A 20,226-nucleotide genomic window follows, 5' to 3' on the forward strand; every position below is an offset into this window, starting at 1 on the left:
GTGCATGAACTCTTTTTCTCAATAAACTCCATTTTCACTCACTCTGAAGATTTGGCAATGGGTTCGAAGTCCATGTTCACCACAAACATACCTTTATTTATCTTTCTATCCCTCTTGAACATCTGATGTCACTAGCTCATGAGATTTCTTAGGGATAGCATCTCATTAATTGATTATTGGACATAATGTAGTAGGTGTCTGTCATGTACACCATAATAAGAAGATCTGTAGATACAGAGAAAGATGTGAGGTACCTTGTTTGGTATGTTTCCCTATTGACTTTTGCAAATACTAAAAAACAAACAAACAAACAAAAAAACAAAAAAAAAACCAATGCAACACATAGGGTAGATGACTTTTATAATTTGTGTTCTGAAACTACTTAATAGCTCCAAATAATACCTTTTTCTTAAAAAGAGGACATGAAGTTCCCCAAGCATACTCCCAGACCCTTAAGTCAACACAAGCTGACCAAGTATTGAGTATTGAGACTAAGTATTGAGAATGCTGTTCTTCTCTGAGGCTCTGACTTGTTACAGGAATGTGGTTTCTGCCAACTCTCCGAGGATGGAGAACTAAAATTCTGTCCATCATCCTCATAGGTTTGAGGTTCCCAAGAATGAGAGCAGTGCTATTCTGGGAGGCTTTTGGGTTGCAATGGAAGGAGCCCTGGGTGAGTTATGAGTGAGTTGGGGAATACTATCTTTAAAGAAGCATTATTTACTTCTCTCCTGGGGGTAGAAAAGTAGAAATGACAAATGGAAATTTTTTAAATGACAAATTTTAGGTTCCTTGGATCATATTAAATGAAAAATTTCAAAACTGTAGACTATGTGTATGTACCCAAATGCATACTTGTGCAATGACTTTAAAATTAAGTAGACAAAAAGGTACATGCAGAAATGGAAATTACAACAGTCACATGATATAAATTATGTCTTTTAAATATTCATTAGCAAAAATGATCTCAATCATCATTATCATTATCAATCATCATCATCATAGTTGACATTTATTGGTCATTCATTATGTTTAACTCTTCTCTGTTTCTTTGCAGGCAACAGCCAAGTTGGAAATAAGTTTGGGGTATTAGAGGTCTAACAAAGACAAAACCCACTGCTTTGGTATTGGGGAGCAAATTTTGTTTGTGTCATTAAGTTGATGATAGTACACAAGAAAATAAAAGCTCCCAATAAAAACATGGAGCTTCGCCGGGCATGGTGGCTCATGCCTGTAATCCCAGCACCTTGGGAGGCCAAGGCAGGCAGATAGCCTGAGGTCAGGAGTTCGAGACCAGCCTGGACAACATGGTGAAATCCCGTCTCTACTAAAAATACAAAAATTAGCCAGGCGTGGTGGCAGGCACCTGTAATCCCAGCTACTGGGAAGCCGAGGCAGGAGAATCGTTTGAACCCGCGAGGCGGAGGTTGCAGTGAGCTGAGATCGCGTCATTGCACTCTAGCCTGGGTGACAAGAGTGAGATTTCATCTCAAAAACAAAACAAAACAAACAAACAAAAAACATGGAGCTTGAGGTAGCTTTCAGCTCAGCTCAGTTATATGGGCTATGTAGATAGTATTGTTTGAAGTCTCTAGAAATAGGCTGGCAAAGACCATGTATAGAACAAAAGACAGAGTTTTAAGATAAACTTTTCCTTTCCTTCCCGCCTCCCTCCCTTGCTCCCTTCCCTCCTTTCTTCCCTTCTTTCTTTCCTCCCTTCCTCTGTTTTTTTTTTTCTTTTTATTTCCAAGAACAGCTATTTAAAATCTGTAGACCTTCTTTATGATCTTTGGTTGGTCCTTGTTTGGTTCTAGGATGGGCACCTCTTTAAACTCTATAGCATCAATCTGTTTGCTCTTGAATTGTTATGAACCAGGAGCCATATCTGAAAGCAAAAAGCCTTTTTGTTAATAACCCTCAAGAAATGCAGTATATTCAAAGAGACCAAGAATAAACTACTGTGAAGCTGGCTGTGTAGACAGCACGAAACAGATGGCATAAACATCTCCTTAGGAGTGGAAAATTAGTGTTAAATTATATACTGAATCAGGGCAGAGGTGTTTCAATGATTATCCTTCTCTAATTCTTTTTCAAATTAGATTTTCTTAAGTTATGGCCACTTCCTTTGGAACATCTAGGAAAGGCATACATTACACAGTGCCAGGACCAAAATACTAAAGCAGATCCCACCTCAGCCCTAAGCCTGAGGCTGTTTATATAGGGTACTAGCTCTTTCTGGCACACTGGCTCTTTTGATTATTAAAGTCAACTTTCAGGAAGAGTTCCAAAGGTAACTGTCATGAATGTGACAATGACAGAGAGCTGAAAGTTAATCTTTCCCACATCGCTTTTATTTGCTTCTTAACAGAACAATATTTTAACCAAAGGAATTGAAACTTCTATTCTGGAATTTCAAGTCTTTTTGGAGAGTTTGTAGGGGATGTATACAGATGGGGCATGAATTCCTTTTGAACCCCCTTTCTTACCCTTCCTCCTTTCCTACTGAATTCATATTATATAGACATCTATCAACAATGCAGACAAATAATTTGAATCCTGGTTCGGCCATTTGCTACAAATATGCTCTTGGGCAAATTACTGGTCCTGTCTCTGAACTTTCCTCATTTACAAAATATGTAAGGACTAAAGTAAGTAATATATAAGGTGTTATATCTGTCCCCTAATATTAATTCTTCATCACACATGATAATCTTTGTTTTCCAGAGATTGAGTGGTTCTTCTCTTTACTCCACAGTCAAAATTAAACCGTGCCAAACCACTTATTCATTCTCTCACTTCCATACACCAAAAGTTTGCAACCTCTCTTGCATTAAATTTTGCAAGAATTGCAAAATGATTAACATTCGGAATATTAGGCATGACTTTAAGTAGTAATAGCAGAAAAAGGAGGTCCTTATCATTCAAAGATTATCATTAAATTATGATATTTAAACTATAACTTTAACATATCATTTCAAGGGCTATTGCTAAGGTGGTTTGATAGGAGCAAAAAACTAGTTGAAAAGTCAGATGGAGGGATAAGGGAACTAGATAGAGGGATAAGGGAATAAAATAAGAAAATGACAAATACAGCAAAAGAGAGCTGAGGACCTTATGAGATGGTGAGGAATGAGGACAGAGCCGACCTACATGTGACATACCAAAATCATGTTTGGGCTTCTAGGTGGCAGGGAGCAGGCGGGGATGCTATGCATGGTGTTGAAGATAAGGACTTTCCCAACTGAAGAGACTATGAGAAAAATGAAAGGATGGACATCCTTTTTATACTTGTTTAGACTGTTCCAAAGGCTGGTCTTCCGGGCATTTCTGTCTCAATATATGCAAAAGCAAAACAAAGTGGCAGAGATAGTTACACATTTCGGTCTGGAAGTGCATTCCTGTCACAGAGCACCCATTGCTTTGATCCAGTATTGTTCTTCTTCTATTTTTTTCCCCCAAGAATCCAAGCAGATTACAATGATGAAGACTCTCCCTTGAGAAAGCCAGAAGGCAGGCATTTCTGCATGCTTGCTCTTTCGGTCGACCTTTGTTAGAGATGATTTGACATTTTCTCTACTTTCAAACCCCAAATTAAGTCTAGGCCTCTCATCAGTCTATTTTCAAAATCATGTCATCTTATTTTTCTTGCATGAAACACACAGATGGGTTTTTGTGATAAGGCACTCATTTCTAGCCTCTTTACACTTCTCCTTCTTGTATGCAGTCAAGGGCACATTAAAAAAATATCAGCAATTTGTATTGCAGATAATTCAGTCACTTGAATTTGTATTTTCTAATCTTTGGCATACAAAAGAAAAGATAACATGAAACAAGTTCTTTTATCATGGCAGGGTTTGCTTGGCATGCAATATATAGTTCATCTAATTGCTCATTCAGTAAAGAGTTGCTGGAGTAGGTTGGGGCAGCGGATAGACTGCAATGTTACTGTGTACTTTGCTCTAAGTGAAAATCAGAAAGGGGGATAATTAATTTTCTTAGGGTTGTGTTATCAATTACTGTGTTCTCTTTTCCTTTTTAGATAATAGCCATGGTGTTTGTACCAAATCATTTCAAGAGACTACGTGGCATGTGTAATGAACAGTATCTAGAAATGGAGAGGATCGACACAGTGCACGAGGCTCTTTATGGAGACAAGAGCTGCAATCTTTATTGTAAGAGACTTCCATTCTCGGGCACAGGAAGTTTCCAGAAGACTGAACCCATCTAATGTGCACTGGGTGGAGGAAATATGGTTTATATTAAAGAAGTGTCCCAGGTAAATACACAAACAGATGCATGAGTCTCAGAGGTATAGATCTGGCTACTGATTAGGATCAGATCATTGGCTGGAGTCTTATCTTCAGCATCAAGTGAACAATTGAGATTTTGCTGGGCTAGGTTCTCCTCCATACAAAAATTATCATCTTGGTGCCGGAATTTGGATTTGGGAATGGACAAAGGTCAATAGCTGTACATTATATATTCTGTGTCTTGCATCTGCAAGGAACAACTAACCATTTTCTAGAATCATAGGTAGTCCTAAGAAGTTAGAAGCAAAATTATACTGTCTTGATCATGACCTTACTTTGTATTTTCTCAAAATTTTCTAGCTACAGTTTCAACAACATACATTTATATTTGTTTGGCAATGGCTCCTACTACTTCCTCCAGGATTCCAGGGAGTTTGAGAGTAGATGCTTGCATCTTCCTAGTGTTCTGCTCATGTTAAGGACATATTAAATGCTTATAAAATGAGTGAACACATAAATGACTGCTAGCCCATAAAGCTCTTAAAAAGTACAGAAAAGGTCAGGTGTCTTTTGTAGAGTCAGCCAAGATCTCCTGCCTCGCTGACTGATTTTTCATCCAATAAACACATATTTGGTACCAGGAATAATGAGAGGGTAGTTTAACACATGGTGATCTCTTTGCTAAATACAGGGCACATTGGAAAGGGGTTATGGAGTAAATACAATGAAGAATAAGCATGCTTTCTGCTTTTAAGCAACCATAATCCAGTGAACTACACAAGGACATAAACAAAGAGTTAATAAATGTGCAAATTATTCTAACAGAAGTGTGTTTATGGTTCTCTATGAGTGGAGATGAGTCAGTCCAGGAGGTTTGGAAAGGTGCTAAGAGGAGGTAAAATAAGAGCTTTAGCCTTGACCTTCAAAGGGAAGCTAACTTGGCAGAAATGGAGATTTGGGGTAAGGAAACCAAATGGACAGACAGAGAGGCACAAAAGATCCAGTGTTCAGTTCCACGCCTTACACCATACCAAATGAATGAATGAATGAATATCTGTCTTGCATAGCACATTAACTTCCCAATGATCCTCTGCTGCATATGCACAAACATTAGAGAATTCTTTTCAGGGTGTTTCCCTATTACAGCCATTTGGCGATGTGAGAAATTACATTCAACAGCCCAGAAAACTACCCCCAGAGCTTTCATTAACATCTGTGTATCATCTCCTTGTGCTGGTAAATATCTCTATTCGTATCTCCAGTCACTCTGCCCCAGTTTTAATGCTGGCAAATAAAACTCAAGCACTCATCAGAAAATAAAATATTTACCCAGCACACTACCTCAAACAAAGTTACTGTATTGGTGCACCATTTTAATAACCATTGAGCACATGAATTTAATGAGATAAAGGATGTATTTTATCCAGAACATAAAGATGTACTGATGGTGATCAGAGGAAATGTGGGAGCCACTTCTCCAGCTAAGGTCTCCCCATTAGGAAGGGGAGAGCATCACAGTAAAGTGGGTATGAGCTGCTGGGGCATTTGATTATTCTTTTTTCTTCCTTTCTACGCATCAGCTGTGTCTACTTTTAGATAATCTGGCAAAAACCTTATTACTATGTACTGGACCCTGAAGGAGACCTGGAAAGTGATCCAGAAAAAAGAGGAGCTATGAGATCTCTGTGCTTTTTCAACGTATACAACCTACTATCTGCTACCTCTGAAGCCAGAGTGGACATTGAAGAAGAATAAGATTATTTTAAAATTTATTTTGTGCTTTAATTCAGAGGAGAAGAAAAAGGCTACAACAACTTTATATTCCTGTTATTACTGTGATTCTAAGTGCTCTGGCTTAGTGGGAATTTGAGGCTCTCTATGAAAAGGGTCCTGGCCATTCCAGCATCTGCTCTTGTCTTTGAACTCTATTTGCATTTTCCCAATTAAGCCACATGGCTTTAAAATTTTATGCTTTTGTGTATGCTGTTCTCTCCTGAAAGACTCCTATGCATCCTGTAAAACCCATCTCCAAACCTAAATCCTAGAGACAGAGAAGAAACTGAATCCCTCTACCACCCTTATGGAGTATCGTTGCTACTGGTATGCATGGTATATGAGGACAGGGAAAGTGTTTGCCTTGCGAATTACCCCAACTCCTGCATTCAGAACAGCTCTTTTCATAGAATAAATGCTCAACAAATATTTGTGGAATTAATAAATAATCAATGCTGGAATTTATTCAAAACATGGAGATTTTAAGCTTGCTTTTGTGAATAAGCTCCCTTACCCTCCTTGGCCTGGCTTAGATCATATTCAGACGGATGAATGTTTGGTGGAGTTCTCCAAACACTCCCTGATTTATTCTCAGCTCCCTGATTTATTAAGCTTGCACCAACTCAGACGGCTGAGCTCTCCCCACCCTCCACTGCATACATATTGCTAAGTCCCAGGAGAACTGTATTACACATACCACCTGCCTCCCACTCCCCTCCCTGTATTCATGGTTTTTAGTAATATTAGTGAGAAGAAATGTTGCTGCCTTCAAAATGGTGAGTAAAAGTGCCAAGCCAGTGTATGATATGCAGAGGTCTTCCACCTGCCACATAAACAACAAGAACAAATAATAGAAGTAAAAGGTACGTCTCCTCCAGAACAAGTGCTCACTGAGTATGTATCCTGCAAAGGAGAGCAAGGCGACTGACTACGTAGGACCCACCATACGCCCGTGTGATCCAGCTCAGCAGAGGGATGAAAGGAAGGAGGGAGGCCTGGGGCTGTAGGAAAAGATTTCTGGAGAAGGAACATGGGACAGAGTTAGTCTTAAAAAGAAAGGAAAGCCTCAGATGCATAAACAAAGTGGGAGAACTCCAGGTAGGGGCTGAGTCTGTGAGTATGCTCTGCAGACAGATAGGCAGACAGGCACAGTTTGTCCCTAGGAGATGGGTAGGTCACATGGTCCTTGCTGCAGAGCCATAGGAGACAAAGTTAGAGGGAGAGACCAGAACTGGTAGGCATTGAATGCTGGAGTAAACAGTTTGGACTCCACCTAACACAAGTTAGACACCATTTTCATTTGCTCTCTGAAGCCCCTGTGCTCTAAGACGGACTCTCAGTTGTGCTGACAAACATTTCAAGATAGAGCCTCAGAGAATATATTCTCAGTTGCTTTTCCTCCAAGTCTGAGTCCTTTGCAGCATCCCTCCCCAGCGGTCCCAGGAGGCGAGTATCCTCACTCATTTAGGGACAAATACCAGTAGCTGCTGTAGGTGATACTTTCTCTTTATTAGCAAAGCCAATTTCCAGTGCTGAGTACCTAGAGGCACCCTGTGGTTTTCCTGTGTTTCTTTTACTGTCAAGCACAGAGATGACGGTGGCAGTTCTGGCCTGGATCCTGAGAAGAGTGACTGTATTTTAAGTTCCATTTGGATGCAAAGAGACAAGGAGGCAGATTTTTTTTTTTTTTTCATTCTGAAGTTATTGATAGGAAAACCTCACCGGCTCTGCTGAAGCTGGGGTAATGTTTTCTAAAATTGTGAAATTCTGAGCTGATGCCAGTGTCCACAGAATCCTGTATGCTAATTTATGGCGGAGCTAGAAAGTGCAATTTTGAAATGCATTTTCAAATCTGTGGTGTTGAGTGAAACATTATTAAGTGTGTATTATTACCTCAGTAGATATCAGTGATGGTTTAACTATCAGAAAATTTCACAGCATATGTAATATTATCAAAATGAATCAATACCTTAACCTCGAGGCTGATTCCTCAATTACTGTAACTACCAGTTGCTATTTTGAATGCTTTTTACACTCTGCTCCCCCTTTAGACTGTCCACGCTGCCCATGTGAATGCAACTGAGAGCACAAATAAATTGAGCATGAACAATTAGACTATTCAGCTTTGGGTGATCTAAAGAGAGATGTGAACTACCATTACATGGCATAGTGATTTTGAATCTCTGGGCTGAGGCATGACTCCGGCTTACTGAATCTCTTAGTCCTGCCAGGAGTAGAAGCTGGGATTTTTAAAGACCTGAAGCAATTCTAAAGCATCTGATGTTTTCAAATGGTAATGAAGAGTTTGGCCAAGATGCTTTACATAGCATCTAACAGAGCTATTATCAGCTATGATGTTACTCAGTGGGGCTGCCATTTAAAACTGCTTTTTTAGGGCAGAGAAGATCTAGCTTTGAATGGTGATTGAAGGACACTAAGCTTCTGCCACTGCTGGGAGAGGTCTAATTTTATACTGTAGTGTAGGGACATGGCTCTAGCCAGAGGACCTTGTGCGATTAAACATGGTTGGGGAAGACACAAGACCACTCTGCTTTGCCTTCTTTTTTGCTGTAGCCTGAAGCCAGTTTGCTGCCCTTGGGGAGGAGATAAAATCTGAGTGGCAAAATAACTGAGCTCCAGAAAACAAAGAAATAAATCTGGCAGTTTTCAGTGATCCTGCAAAGCAAAACAAATCAGGGATACCTCACTGACTAATAACCAAAGGTGTCAATAGCTTTTACTCACCCACTATCACTAAGTCCACATTTTCTGGCAAGTCGCAAAGCAACTGGGTGCTTGCAATATAATCCAGGCTGGGGAAAAGAAAATTGCATCAATTATAATTAACCTACTGTAGATAAAGACTAGTGTTTTTGGTTTTGCTCTTCTCATGAGATTCCTAAGGTAATGGAAACCTAGGGAAATAACAGTGTTTGCTGGGCCCAGGTTAGTGGCATAAATCTAAATGTCAAGCAAAGTTGGGCAGGTAAGTGAATTAGTAGAGAGCAGGATTTGTCAAACTCTAATATTCATATGAATCACCTGGGATCTTATTAAAACTCAGATTGCTGGGCCTCTTCCCTGGATATTCTGATTGAATTGTTTGGAGTGGGGCCAGTGAATTTGCATTTCTTTTTTTCTTTTTTTTTTTTTTTCTTTTTTTTGGTGGGGGTGACGGAGTCTCGCTTTGTTGCCAGCATAGGGTGCAGTGGCATGATCTCGGCTCATTGCAACCTCCTCCTCCCAGGTTCAAGCAATTCTCCTGCCTCAGCCTCCCGAGTAGTGGGGACTACAGGTGTGCACCACCACACCCAGCTAATTTTTGTATTTTTAATAGAGACGGGGTTTCACCATGTTGGCCAGGATGGTCTCAATCTCCTGACCTCATGATCCATCTGCCTCGGCCTCCCAAAGTGCTAGGATTACAGGCGTGAGCCACGGCACCCCGCCCTGAATTTGCATTTGTAATAAACTTCCAGGGGATGCTGACCTGCGGCTCTGTGAGCTACACTGTGAGTAACACAGGAAGGTGAACAGGGCTAAGAAGATGCTATATTGAAGGGTCTGCTTCATTAAAGGGAAGTGGAAGTGACTTAATTTCAGCCAGTTTCTATGCAAGGACAGAGGCCTACTATTATTGCAAATCATCTGAATTTTGGTGAAATTTTTAGTTGCAAGAAGCCAATTTGCTATTTTTGCTTAAAATTCTGAGACCCATCTGTCAGATAGATGTGGTCAGTAGGCCACCAGTTTAAGACAGCAGGCCTTGTTATGATTACTGCAAGAGGAGAGTGGGCATTATTTAAGGGAGTGTTGTGAAATGTAAATTATAAAATAATAAAAAGCAAAATTCTCAAAGTGTGGAGAAAAATATAAACTTTCACCAACTGATTCCTATACTTTGATCTCTAAGAGGCTCTTTCAAAACCTCAAGTAAGACAAAATGCGCAGTATTCTTTTCTAAAGAATGAACATGGCCATTCATACAATATGTGAACAAGGAAATTGTGCATTAGACATTTCCTGTGTGTATCTTAATTAATTACCCTGAACTGAGACCTGTGCTTATTATGGGCATGAATGCCTCTATGGGGGATGTTGGCAAATAATGTTTTGTTTTGTTTATTTCTGTCGACAGCAAGGCCAATTAGTACATCTGTGCTGTATCAGGAAAATGTGAGCTGAAATGAGAGTGACATTCAGAAAAGATTTCTTTTCAAGCTCTATGTCTTTAGGAAGCCTCCGTGCAGTGACCTTATACTTGGAATTCAGCTTTCAGCTGGTATATCCAGCATTAAAGGTGACAGGGAAAATAAAAGTCTTCCTTCCAAAGATTGTGTGTGCCTTTGGCAAAGGTTATAGATGTGATGCCTTCGAACATCCTTCTTCATGATGGCTCTGTCGCTGGAAATGGGCAGAGAAGAGAAAAAATCCGCAGCAAGCTAAAGCTGTTTTCAAAGTAATGATTGTCAAATCCTGTATCTCTTGAATGCAGAACAAGTGTGGGTTTCATATTTACATCTAAATATCTGGATTGCTTATCATTTTGTTTCCTTCCTCTTCTTTCTTGTCATATTTATGTAGATATAGGATTAAAAAAAAAACCCAGTGTGAAAAAAAAAGAGCAAAATACCCCAGCCTCACAATAACAAATTTTTGAGATTAGAAGCAACTCATTAACTTACGCTGGTCCTGGACTTTTTCCCCGGCTCACCTTGTTTTTTGGCCAGGGATAAGAGAAGGCAGGAGCGTAACATGTGCCCTTTCAGTCCACTGTCACTGCCTGAAGGGATCCAGATGCTTCTAAACATGGCTGATTACAGGTCATTGTCATTATTTTCGGCAATTATTCATTCACTGCCCAGGGTAGGCCGGGAATTGGAGGCAGAGACAAGAAGTGACAAAAATGCACTTTCGGATTTACAGTCCTTCAGATTGATTTGTTATGCACCAACACTCCTCTCTGATTGCTCAGGTCATTTCAAGCTTTTGGCATATTCACAGTGCTCCCATCTACCCGTTAGAACCCCACTGAGGCCAGACAAGGTGGCTCATACCTGTAATCTCGGTGCTTTGAGAGGCCAAAGTTGGAGAACTGCTTGAGCCCAGAAGTTCAAGACCAGCCTGGGTGACATAGTGAGACCCCATCTCTACAAAAATAAAATTAGCTAGGTGTATGCACCTATAGTCCTAGCTACTTGGGAGACTGAGGCAGGAGGATTGCTTGAGACCAGGAGTTGGGGGTTACAGTGAGCTATGATTGTGCCAGTGTACCCCAGTCTTGGCAATAGAGCAAAATCCTGTCAAAAGAAAGAAAAAGAAAGAAAAGAAAGAAAGAAAGAAAGAAAGAAAGAAAGAAAGAAAGAAAGGAAGGAAGGAAGGAAGGAAGGAGGAAGGAAGGAAGGAAGAAGGGAGGGAGGAAGGAAGGAGGAAGGAAAGAAAGGGAGAAAGAACTCTACTGACCAACTCAAATTATTTCTATTCTTTGAAGATTTTCATGGCTACCTAGGCTAATGTTCTTGTATTATATTAGTAATATAATATTTCCTATATTGTATTTCTTGTAATATATGTCAATCATTCAGTGGAATACACATTGGAGTGAGACCATTGTGGGTTCCATTCCTGACACTCCTGCTACTAATGACTTGTATGCTGTTGGACAAGCTTCATCACATTTACCAGCACATTTCTCATGTTCTGTTGTCAATTTAGAATCATTACCAGCCCCTTTTACATTGTCTTCTGTATAGAAGGGGGAAAATCTGTAACAACAATACCCAGAAACATTTTCCCTATATGGTCCTAAGATCGATTCCATTATGTTTGTGAGATTTAAACATTGGATGAGAAGGAGAGCACTTCTTCTCTGGTGGTGGTTGCAGGCAGAAACATGGGCAGATAAGAATGTCATAACCATGACCTAGGGTACCTGGAGAAGTACCCACACAGGTGACACAGAGAGTGAAAATCCCTGACTGCTCTTTCTTGTGATTGTTGTTGTGTGAATCTTTCCCTGGACGAACACCTTTAATTCCTGCTTTAGTGCCACAGGTGATGAGATCCTGTGCACAGGTTTCTTGATTTTGGAATTCCACTAGAAGCTTCTCTGATTTTCAGTTCCCTTATCCAGGAAGAGATCCCAACAATCGTGCAAGCCTCTAGTTCCTGTATAAAAAGAGTTTTACTTGGGCTAGTTGGAGAGTCTTTGGTTTTCTTGACCAAACCATGAAGGATACAAAGTCTCAATCCCTCATTAGCAAAACAGAGATTAAAAACATACTCACCCAATAAGGTTATTGTGAGCGTAAATGCCTGGCATGATATCTGCCACTCAATAATTCCTAAATGCCTTCTTGAATTAATAGTGCAAAGCACGTGGGCCAACACTCTAGCACTTGGCTCACAGACTTCGTTAATTAATGCAGTGCCCAGCCCTGTTCTATGTTCATATGTTCATATGTTCATATGTTCATGAATACATATGTACTGATGGAGTGGTTCTTGAGTCTGGGCTGGCTAATTTCTATCATATCTGCTACCATGTTTCATGTCATAGGTGCAGAGCCCTTGGGGAGTCCGCCAACCACTCACTTGTAAAGTATCTTGATAAGGCTACAATTTGGGATTAAATCCTCCCAAATAACAACTAATAATACCATGTTTCCTAAAATCAGCAGCAGTGATATTTCACTGTCTTCTCGCCTTTTTTCTAAAATAAAATGTGGGTTATGACTATAGACTTAAGCTGTGTACAGGTGAAAGCAGTAGGTCTCAAGATCAGTTTCGATGTGGTGGTGGCCTTTTGGATGCCTACAGGTATCATTTCATCATTCTATTCATTAGTCAATAAAGAGAACAATAGAAATAAATTTTGTTACTTCTTATTTGTATATAAAGTGCAGTGATTCTTTTGCACTCTCCATAAATGTAACAGCTGTGATTTGTACTGACATTTTTAAAAGCATCTGCATTTAGAGGTTATTGATGCGGCACACTAACTCCTAGGTGATGTGAATTCTAGAAGCCAAACAAGACAAGTATGGGATACCAAGCAAGACACCATCCTTTTGGAAGAACACTTTTTGGCTTGTTTGCCCCCTTTAAGCTGGGGTAGTCCCTCTGGATTAAGCTCTCTGCAGGAGAGCTATACTTTATTTCCTGATGCAGGTGTCTTGTTTAACCTTCATGCACTTTCCCCAAAGACACATCCCCTCTGGTCAGCAACGTTCTATTTCTGCTAAAACTCAGTCTCCAGAGTCATAATGACTTGGCTCAAACACTGTCTTTACCTGTTAGCAGCTGTGTGACATTAGGCAAATTAACCGAATCTCTCTGTGCCTAGGTTCTTTTCTGCAATAAAGAGAATGTGAGAATAATAATAGCAACTGAGTCAGAGAACTGAGAAGAATAGAAAGGATATATATGTAAAGTCTTTAACATCATCGTTTACATAAAAAGCACTCAAAAGTTGTTAGCTTCTATTATTATGGTAGGCAATACCTACATAAAATAGCTTACATTTTGGGGAGAACTCTTGCCATATTCTAGTAACTTCGCTAATCACGTAGAAAAATAAAATGTGAGTAAGATGTGGTGTTTCTCTCTTGTCTCAGGAAGCTCACATCCAGTGGGCAGATACGAACCACATGTAAAAACTCAAAATACAAGGAAATAAACAAACAAACAAACAATCTGTGTGCTTTAAATTTTAGAAGGGAGGCAGAAATTTGAGTGGGTGTTAGGGACAGGTGGAGGAAAGTCAACAGAGGACCTCCAAGTAGACTGGAAGTTCCCAATAGGGTCAAGTCTCTGAGTTACCACAAGGTACAGTAGCAGATAGTGGAGAAAGAGGCGCCAAATGTTCAAGTCTTACTGGGGAAAAGGGTAAGAAAAGCATAGCTTAACTCAAGAGGTAATATGCCTAGGAGATAACTGTTAGTTTTTACTGTGGTTAACTCAACTAGAGAGATTGAGCATCATGCTGCTTTGAAATAAAGTGCTAAGAACAAGAAAATTAAAAGGACCTTGCTGCTGTAGTTGTCCTTCTTTGCAACTTAACAGTCAAGCTAAACAACTTAATAGATTTGAGCTCTTGTTCTCTCTTCCTTCTTTCCAATGAACAATTATTTCCTTCCTTGTTCTGGAACAGGCCCCATATGAAGAACAAAATACTACAGGGGAGGTGTATGAATAAAACAATGAATAATCAGGGGGTGAGTGCAAACCCTCAATGACCAGAGATCTAGCAGAAAGGTAATAGGGAAAAGAGGCAATGATAAATGCCCTGTGTGTATGTGTACATACAATCAGCCCTGGTAAAAACATCACTATACACAAATTGCATGGTTTACAACTTGAGTATGCTGACTGAAAAAGCATAGGTCCAAATAATTAGGATTTCGGAGCTCTTCATTCATCTAAAATACAGTGGGCATCAGTTATGTATCAACATAGTGCTTGGCACCAAATGAATATTCAATGAAATTTGTTTACTTCTCCATTTTTGTCACGGAGTCTAAGTACTTTGTACATTATCTCATTGAAGTTCTCACACCTATCCTATGAAGTAGGCACTATATCTAGCTCTGTTTTACAGATGAGGAAATAAAAAGTTGAGGAGAGTAAATAGCTTGCTCAACAGTACACAGCTATTAAGTGAAAGAGCAAATATTTGAGTCCAGACAATTGAAACCAGAGCTCAAGATATTACTGTGGTGTTCCGTATATGGCCTCCTATGATCTCTGTGCTTTAGGGCCAACAGCTGTGGATGAGACAGACATGCAGAATATGTTGTATGCATTTAATAAATGCCATATTACAGGTATGTAGAAGGGTCTGTCAGAGAACACAAGAAGAAAATAGTAAATTTCTGAGCAAGGTAAGAAAGGTTTCCCTGAAGCAGTAACACTACAACTGAAGTGTAGGGCTGGATAGTTCTTGGCAGCTGTGGGTGTTAGGCAGGAGTATGATGTTAGGAAAATAGAGAAAACATCAAGAGGATGTGCTCATGCATCCTTGGGAGCAGGCTCAGTCAACATCTATCAAAACATAAATGGGCCATGACTTTTGTATCTGTAATTTCACTACTAACTGCAAAAGACTAAAAAAATGCACAAAAATGCTTATCTGAAATATTGTTTTGAAGTAGGGAAAATAAATTATCTAAATGTTCAACAACATAACATATACAAAGTAATTCTCTTCCGTCATTAAAAGTGAAGATGAATGTCCATCTACAACAGATCACTTAGTAGCAAGGATGAGTAAAGATAAACTCATATATAAAAAATAGAATGCAAATACGCTATTAGCATAGAGAAAAGCCTGGAAGGATTTCCCTAAAATGTGAAGAGGAGGTAGTTAAATTGGGGGTGTTTTAGTTTTCCCTTTCACTTTGTTTGGATGGCTTGCATTTTGACAATGACATGAATCCCAAAACATTCAGTTATAAAAGAAAAAAGCAAAGCAAAACAATAAGCTTAGGAGACCAGCAACATAAATATTAAGCAAATGAATTACAGAATAGGTCTGTTGGGATGAGGCATAGAAAGAGGTAAAAAGCAAAAGGAAAAAAGTATCAAGGTGCCTAATATGTCTCTTTCTGTACATATAACTGATGACTTTGGTGATGACGTAATTTAAGGAAGTAGAAAGTTTCAAAGCTAAGAAAGATTATCTGTTTAGGATATTACCAAACTGCCATCCCACAGACTTTTAATTCTTTTACTCAGGGCTACCCTCTGTGTGCCTCGTCTTACAGAGGACTATAAATGTGCAGATATATTGATCCTCTTAGCCTTTGGGGCAACATATAGGGCTTTGGACAGCAGAGCTCCTGGGCCAGGAAGCACAGGCGTTGGATTGTCGCATCTGTTGACTCCAACAAGCCATTACAATATTTTGTTCTATGTGAGTTGTGAGGTGAATAACGATTGGGACCACTGACTAAAGAGACCATTTTATGTGCCCCATTGCTTTGTGAAAAGTGTAACTGGAACCCAGAGAAGTTTAAAGACTTTCCCAAAGTTATGTAGCTCATTAGATAAGTAGGCCAGTCACTTACTCAAGTAGAAATAAGAATATTTACAAAAAAAAAAAAAACACAAAAAGAAAACTTTGAATCCCAATCAAAATGGAAGATCACAGAACAAAAGAACTGAACTCCAGGAATTACATAAGCATGACTTGTTTTACTTCACTTCACAGAAAATGCATTTTTTTTTTTTACAAATTGATGGTGCATGGCAATCCTGCATCTTGCAATTCTTTTTTTTTTTTTTTTTTTTTTTTTTTTGGAAATGGAGTCTTGCTCCTGTCACCCAGGCTGGAGTGCAATGGCATGATCTTGGCTCACTGCAACCTCTGCCTCCTGGGTTCAAGCGATTCTCCTGCCTCAGCCTCCCGAGTAGCTGGGATTACAGGTGCAAGCCACTATGCCTGGCTCAATTTTGTATTTTTAGTAGAGACAGGGTTTCGCCATGGTGGCCAGGCTGGTCTTGAACTCCTGACCTCAGGTGATCCGCCCACCTCGGGCTCCCAAACTGCTGGGATTGCAGGTGTGAGCCACCACACCCAGCCTGCATCTTGCAATTCTACTGGTGCTACATTCTACTAGTGCTGCATTCCACTAGTGCAATTCTACTAGTGCTTGCAATTCTACTAGTGCTACATTCCACCAGCATGTGCCCACTTTGTGGCTATGTGTCACATATCGGTAATTCTCACAATATTTCAAATATTTTCATAATGATTATATCTGTTATAGTGATCTGTGATCAGTGGTCTTTTATGTTACTATCATAATTATTTTGGGGCACCACAAACCTCACACATGTAAGATGACAAATTTAATTAATCAATGTTGTATGTGTTCTGACTGCTCCATTGACCAGCTGTGTTCTGTCTCTCTCCCTCTCTTTGGGCCATCTTGTTCTCTGAGACACAACTATATTGAAATTAGGCCAATTAATATCCCTTCAAATGGCCTCTAGGTGTTCAAGTGAAGGAAGAGCCACACATCTCTCACTTTAAATCAAAAGCTAGACATGATTAAGCTTAGTGAGCAAGGCATGTCAAAAGCCAAGGCAGGCTGAAAGCTAGGCCTCTTGCACCACACAGTTTGCCAAGTTCTGAATGCAAAGGAAAAGTTCTTGGAGGAATTTAAAAGTGGTACTCCAGGGAACACACAATAGTAAGAAGGTGTAACAGCCTTATAGGTGCTATGGAGAAAGTTGTAGTGGTCTGGATGGAAGATCAAACCAGCCAGAACATTTCCTTAAGCTACAGCACAATTCGGAGCAAGGGGTGCTGACTCTCTTCAATTCTGTGAAGGCTGAGAGAGCTGAGAAAGCATCACAAGAAAAGTTTGAAGCTAGCAGAGGTTGGTTCATCAATTTAAGGAAAGATGTCTTCTCTATATACAACATAAAAGTGCAAAGTGAAGCAACAAGTGCTGAGGGAGAAGCCACAGCATATTATCCAGATCTAAGATAACTGATGAAAGTGACTGAACAAAACAAGAGATTTTCAATGTAGATGAAACAGCATTCTATTAAAAAAATAAATAAAAGATGCCATCTAGGATTTCATAGCCAGAAAGGAGAAGTCAATGCCGGGCTTCAAAGGACAGGCTGATGATCTTGGTCAGGGCCAACGCAACCGGTGATTTTTAAGTTGAAGCCAACGTTCATTTACCATTGCAAAAATTCTAGGGCTCTTAAGAATTATGATATATTTATTCTGTCTGTGCTCCTGAAAAGAAGCAACTAAGTCTGCATGACAGCATATCTGTCTACAGCATGCTTTACTGAATATTTTAAAGCCATTGTTGAGAACTACTGCTCAGGAAAAAGACTCCTTTCAAAATATTACTGTTCACTGACAACACACCCAGTCACCCAAGAGCTCTGATGGAGATATACAAGAAAATTAATGTTGCTTTTATACCCGATAACACAGCATCCATTCTGCAGCCCATCAATCAAGAAGCAATTTCAACTTTCAAGTCTTATTATTGAAGAAGTACGTTTTATAAAGTTACAGCTGCTATAGATAATGATTCTTCTGATGGACCTGGGCAAAGTAAACTGAAAACCTTTTGGAAAGGATTCAACATTCTAGATGCCATTAAGGACATTTGTGATTCATGGGAAAAGGTCAACATATTGACATAATAAGAGTTTGAAAGAGGTTGATTCCAGCCTTCATGTATCACTTGGAGGGGTCTAAGACTTCAGTGAAGAAAGTAACTGCAGATGTGGTGGAAACAGCAAGAGAACTAGGATTAAAAGTGGAAGCTGAAGATGTGACCGAATTGTTGCAATCTCATGATAAAATTTGAACAGATGAGGAGTTGCTTTTATGGAAGAGCAAAGAAAGTATTTTCTTGAGATGGAATCCACTCCTGGTAAAAATCCTGTGAACATTGTTGAAATGACAAAGGATTTAGCATATTACATAAATTGGGTGAGAGGAGGGTAAGGAATGAAATACCACCCTATTGGGTAGAATGTACACTCTTTGGGTGATGGGTACACTAAAAGCCCAGATTTCACCATTATGCAATATAGTTATTTAACGTAACCACACTTGTACCCCTAAATCCATAAAAATAAAAAAAAATTCAAACATTAATAAATAAATAAGAAGTGCATCAAAAAAAGAATATTACATAAACTTAGTTGACAAAGCAGTGACAGGGTTTAAGAGAATTGGCTTTAATTTTGAAAGAATTTCTACTGTGGGTAAAATGCTATCAAACAGCATCACATGTACAAAGAAATCTTTTGTAAAAGGAAGAGTCAATTGGTAAACTTTATTGTTGTCATATTTTAAGAAATTGCCACAGCCACCCAAAACTCTAGCACCATCTTATTCAGTCAGCAGCAATCAACATTGAGGCAAGACCCTCCACCAGCAAAAATATTTTACAACTCATTGAAGGCTCAGATGATTGTTAGCATTTTTTAGCAATAAAATATTTTTGAAGTATGTAGTTTATAGATATAATGCTACTGCATATTTAGGCTACAGTATAGCACAAATATAACTTTTATATTTACTAGGAAAATAAAATAATGTGTAACTTGCTTTATTGTAATTTTTGCTTTATTGCAGTAATCTGGAACTGAATCCACAATATCTCCAAAGTATGCCTACATTTTGACAAAGTAAGTCACCTGACTTTCAAGAGCTCTGCTCATTTGAGTATCTGACATTGAATTAGGAATAAAATTATCAGCCCGTATCAAGTAAATAGTTGGGAATTCAAAATGTTAGTGTAGTTCACACAATATGGTACTTTTTGCTTGTTTTCATCTAGTCTTGTTTTAACAGTCTGTCTGTAAAAAAACCTTAGTCTTTATGGTGTTGTCTTCTGCTGGAAAGTGCAGTTCCACTATCAATTAGTTACGATACTTATGCTCATGTTTGTCTCAAGACAGTGCTGAGGCGTTACTTTCATGATAACCTTACTTGGGGCATAGCTGTCAGTCACTGATGTGGATTAGATGGCTCAGAGCTGAGGCAATTTGTGAGATGAAGAGCTCACTCTGAGCAGCTGCTGGTGTGTCTGACTGAGGCTAACCCTCATTTTCTACTCTATGATATATTCATCCTCCACATCTTAGGCCTTTCAAATCCAGGCTCCTCAAAATCTTTATTAAAGTCGAACTCAACATTGGCCCTATATCTCCCTCTTCATCCCACGATTTATGTGTCTTCTCATTCCTATATCCTGGATCGCTGGGCTGCGTGTTTGCCTAGTGTTCCTTTGACTAGGCAGGTGAAGAAATAGGTAAATGGCTCTTTTGGCAGGCTGACTAGTAGCCCTCAAGATGTTCACATCTTAATGCCTGGAGCCCGTGAATGTTCACTTCTATCACAAAAGGAACATGCAGATGTGATTAAATGACAGATCTTCAGAGGGGCAGATTTTTCTGGATTGTCTGGGTGGGCCGAAATGTCTTCATAAGAGGAAGGCAGAAAAATATTTGGTTACAGAAAAGAAAGCAGAAGATAAAATGATGGAACAAAGAGGTTGGAGTGATGCAAGGAAGAGGTCATGGCCAAGAAATGCAGGCAGCCTTCAGAAGTGAGACAAAATAAGAAAGCAGGTTCTCCCCAGACCCCCAACCCCAAAGAAGCCAGCCCTGCCAACAATTTTGCTTTACCCAGTGAACCTGATTTCAGACTTCTGGC

The 20,226-nt window shown here is 39.5% G+C and overlaps 1 long non-coding RNA gene across 1 annotated transcript in view, besides 1 other annotated feature; it reads right to left on the reverse strand.

Annotated features, from left to right (window-relative positions):
• Positions 1-20,226, reverse strand: part of LINC02627 (long intergenic non-protein coding RNA 2627) — a 146,724-nt gene that overhangs the window by 18,546 nt on the left and 107,952 nt on the right. The gene's annotated exons all lie outside the window — the stretch shown is intronic.
• Positions 8,016-8,757: an enhancer, noted in NCBI's record as "OCT4-NANOG hESC enhancer chr10:107459929-107460670 (GRCh37/hg19 assembly coordinates)". NCBI's record gives its function as "activates a minimal SCP1, AML or CMV promoter by ChIP-STARR-seq in naive H9 embryonic stem cells {active_cell/tissue: H9 hESC(naive)}" and the evidence as "EXISTENCE:reporter gene assay evidence [ECO:0000049][PMID:30033119]".

Source organism: Homo sapiens, chromosome 10 (assembly GCF_000001405.40).
Source record: "Homo sapiens chromosome 10, GRCh38.p14 Primary Assembly".
In the NCBI taxonomy this organism is placed as follows: domain Eukaryota; kingdom Metazoa; phylum Chordata; class Mammalia; order Primates; family Hominidae; genus Homo; species Homo sapiens.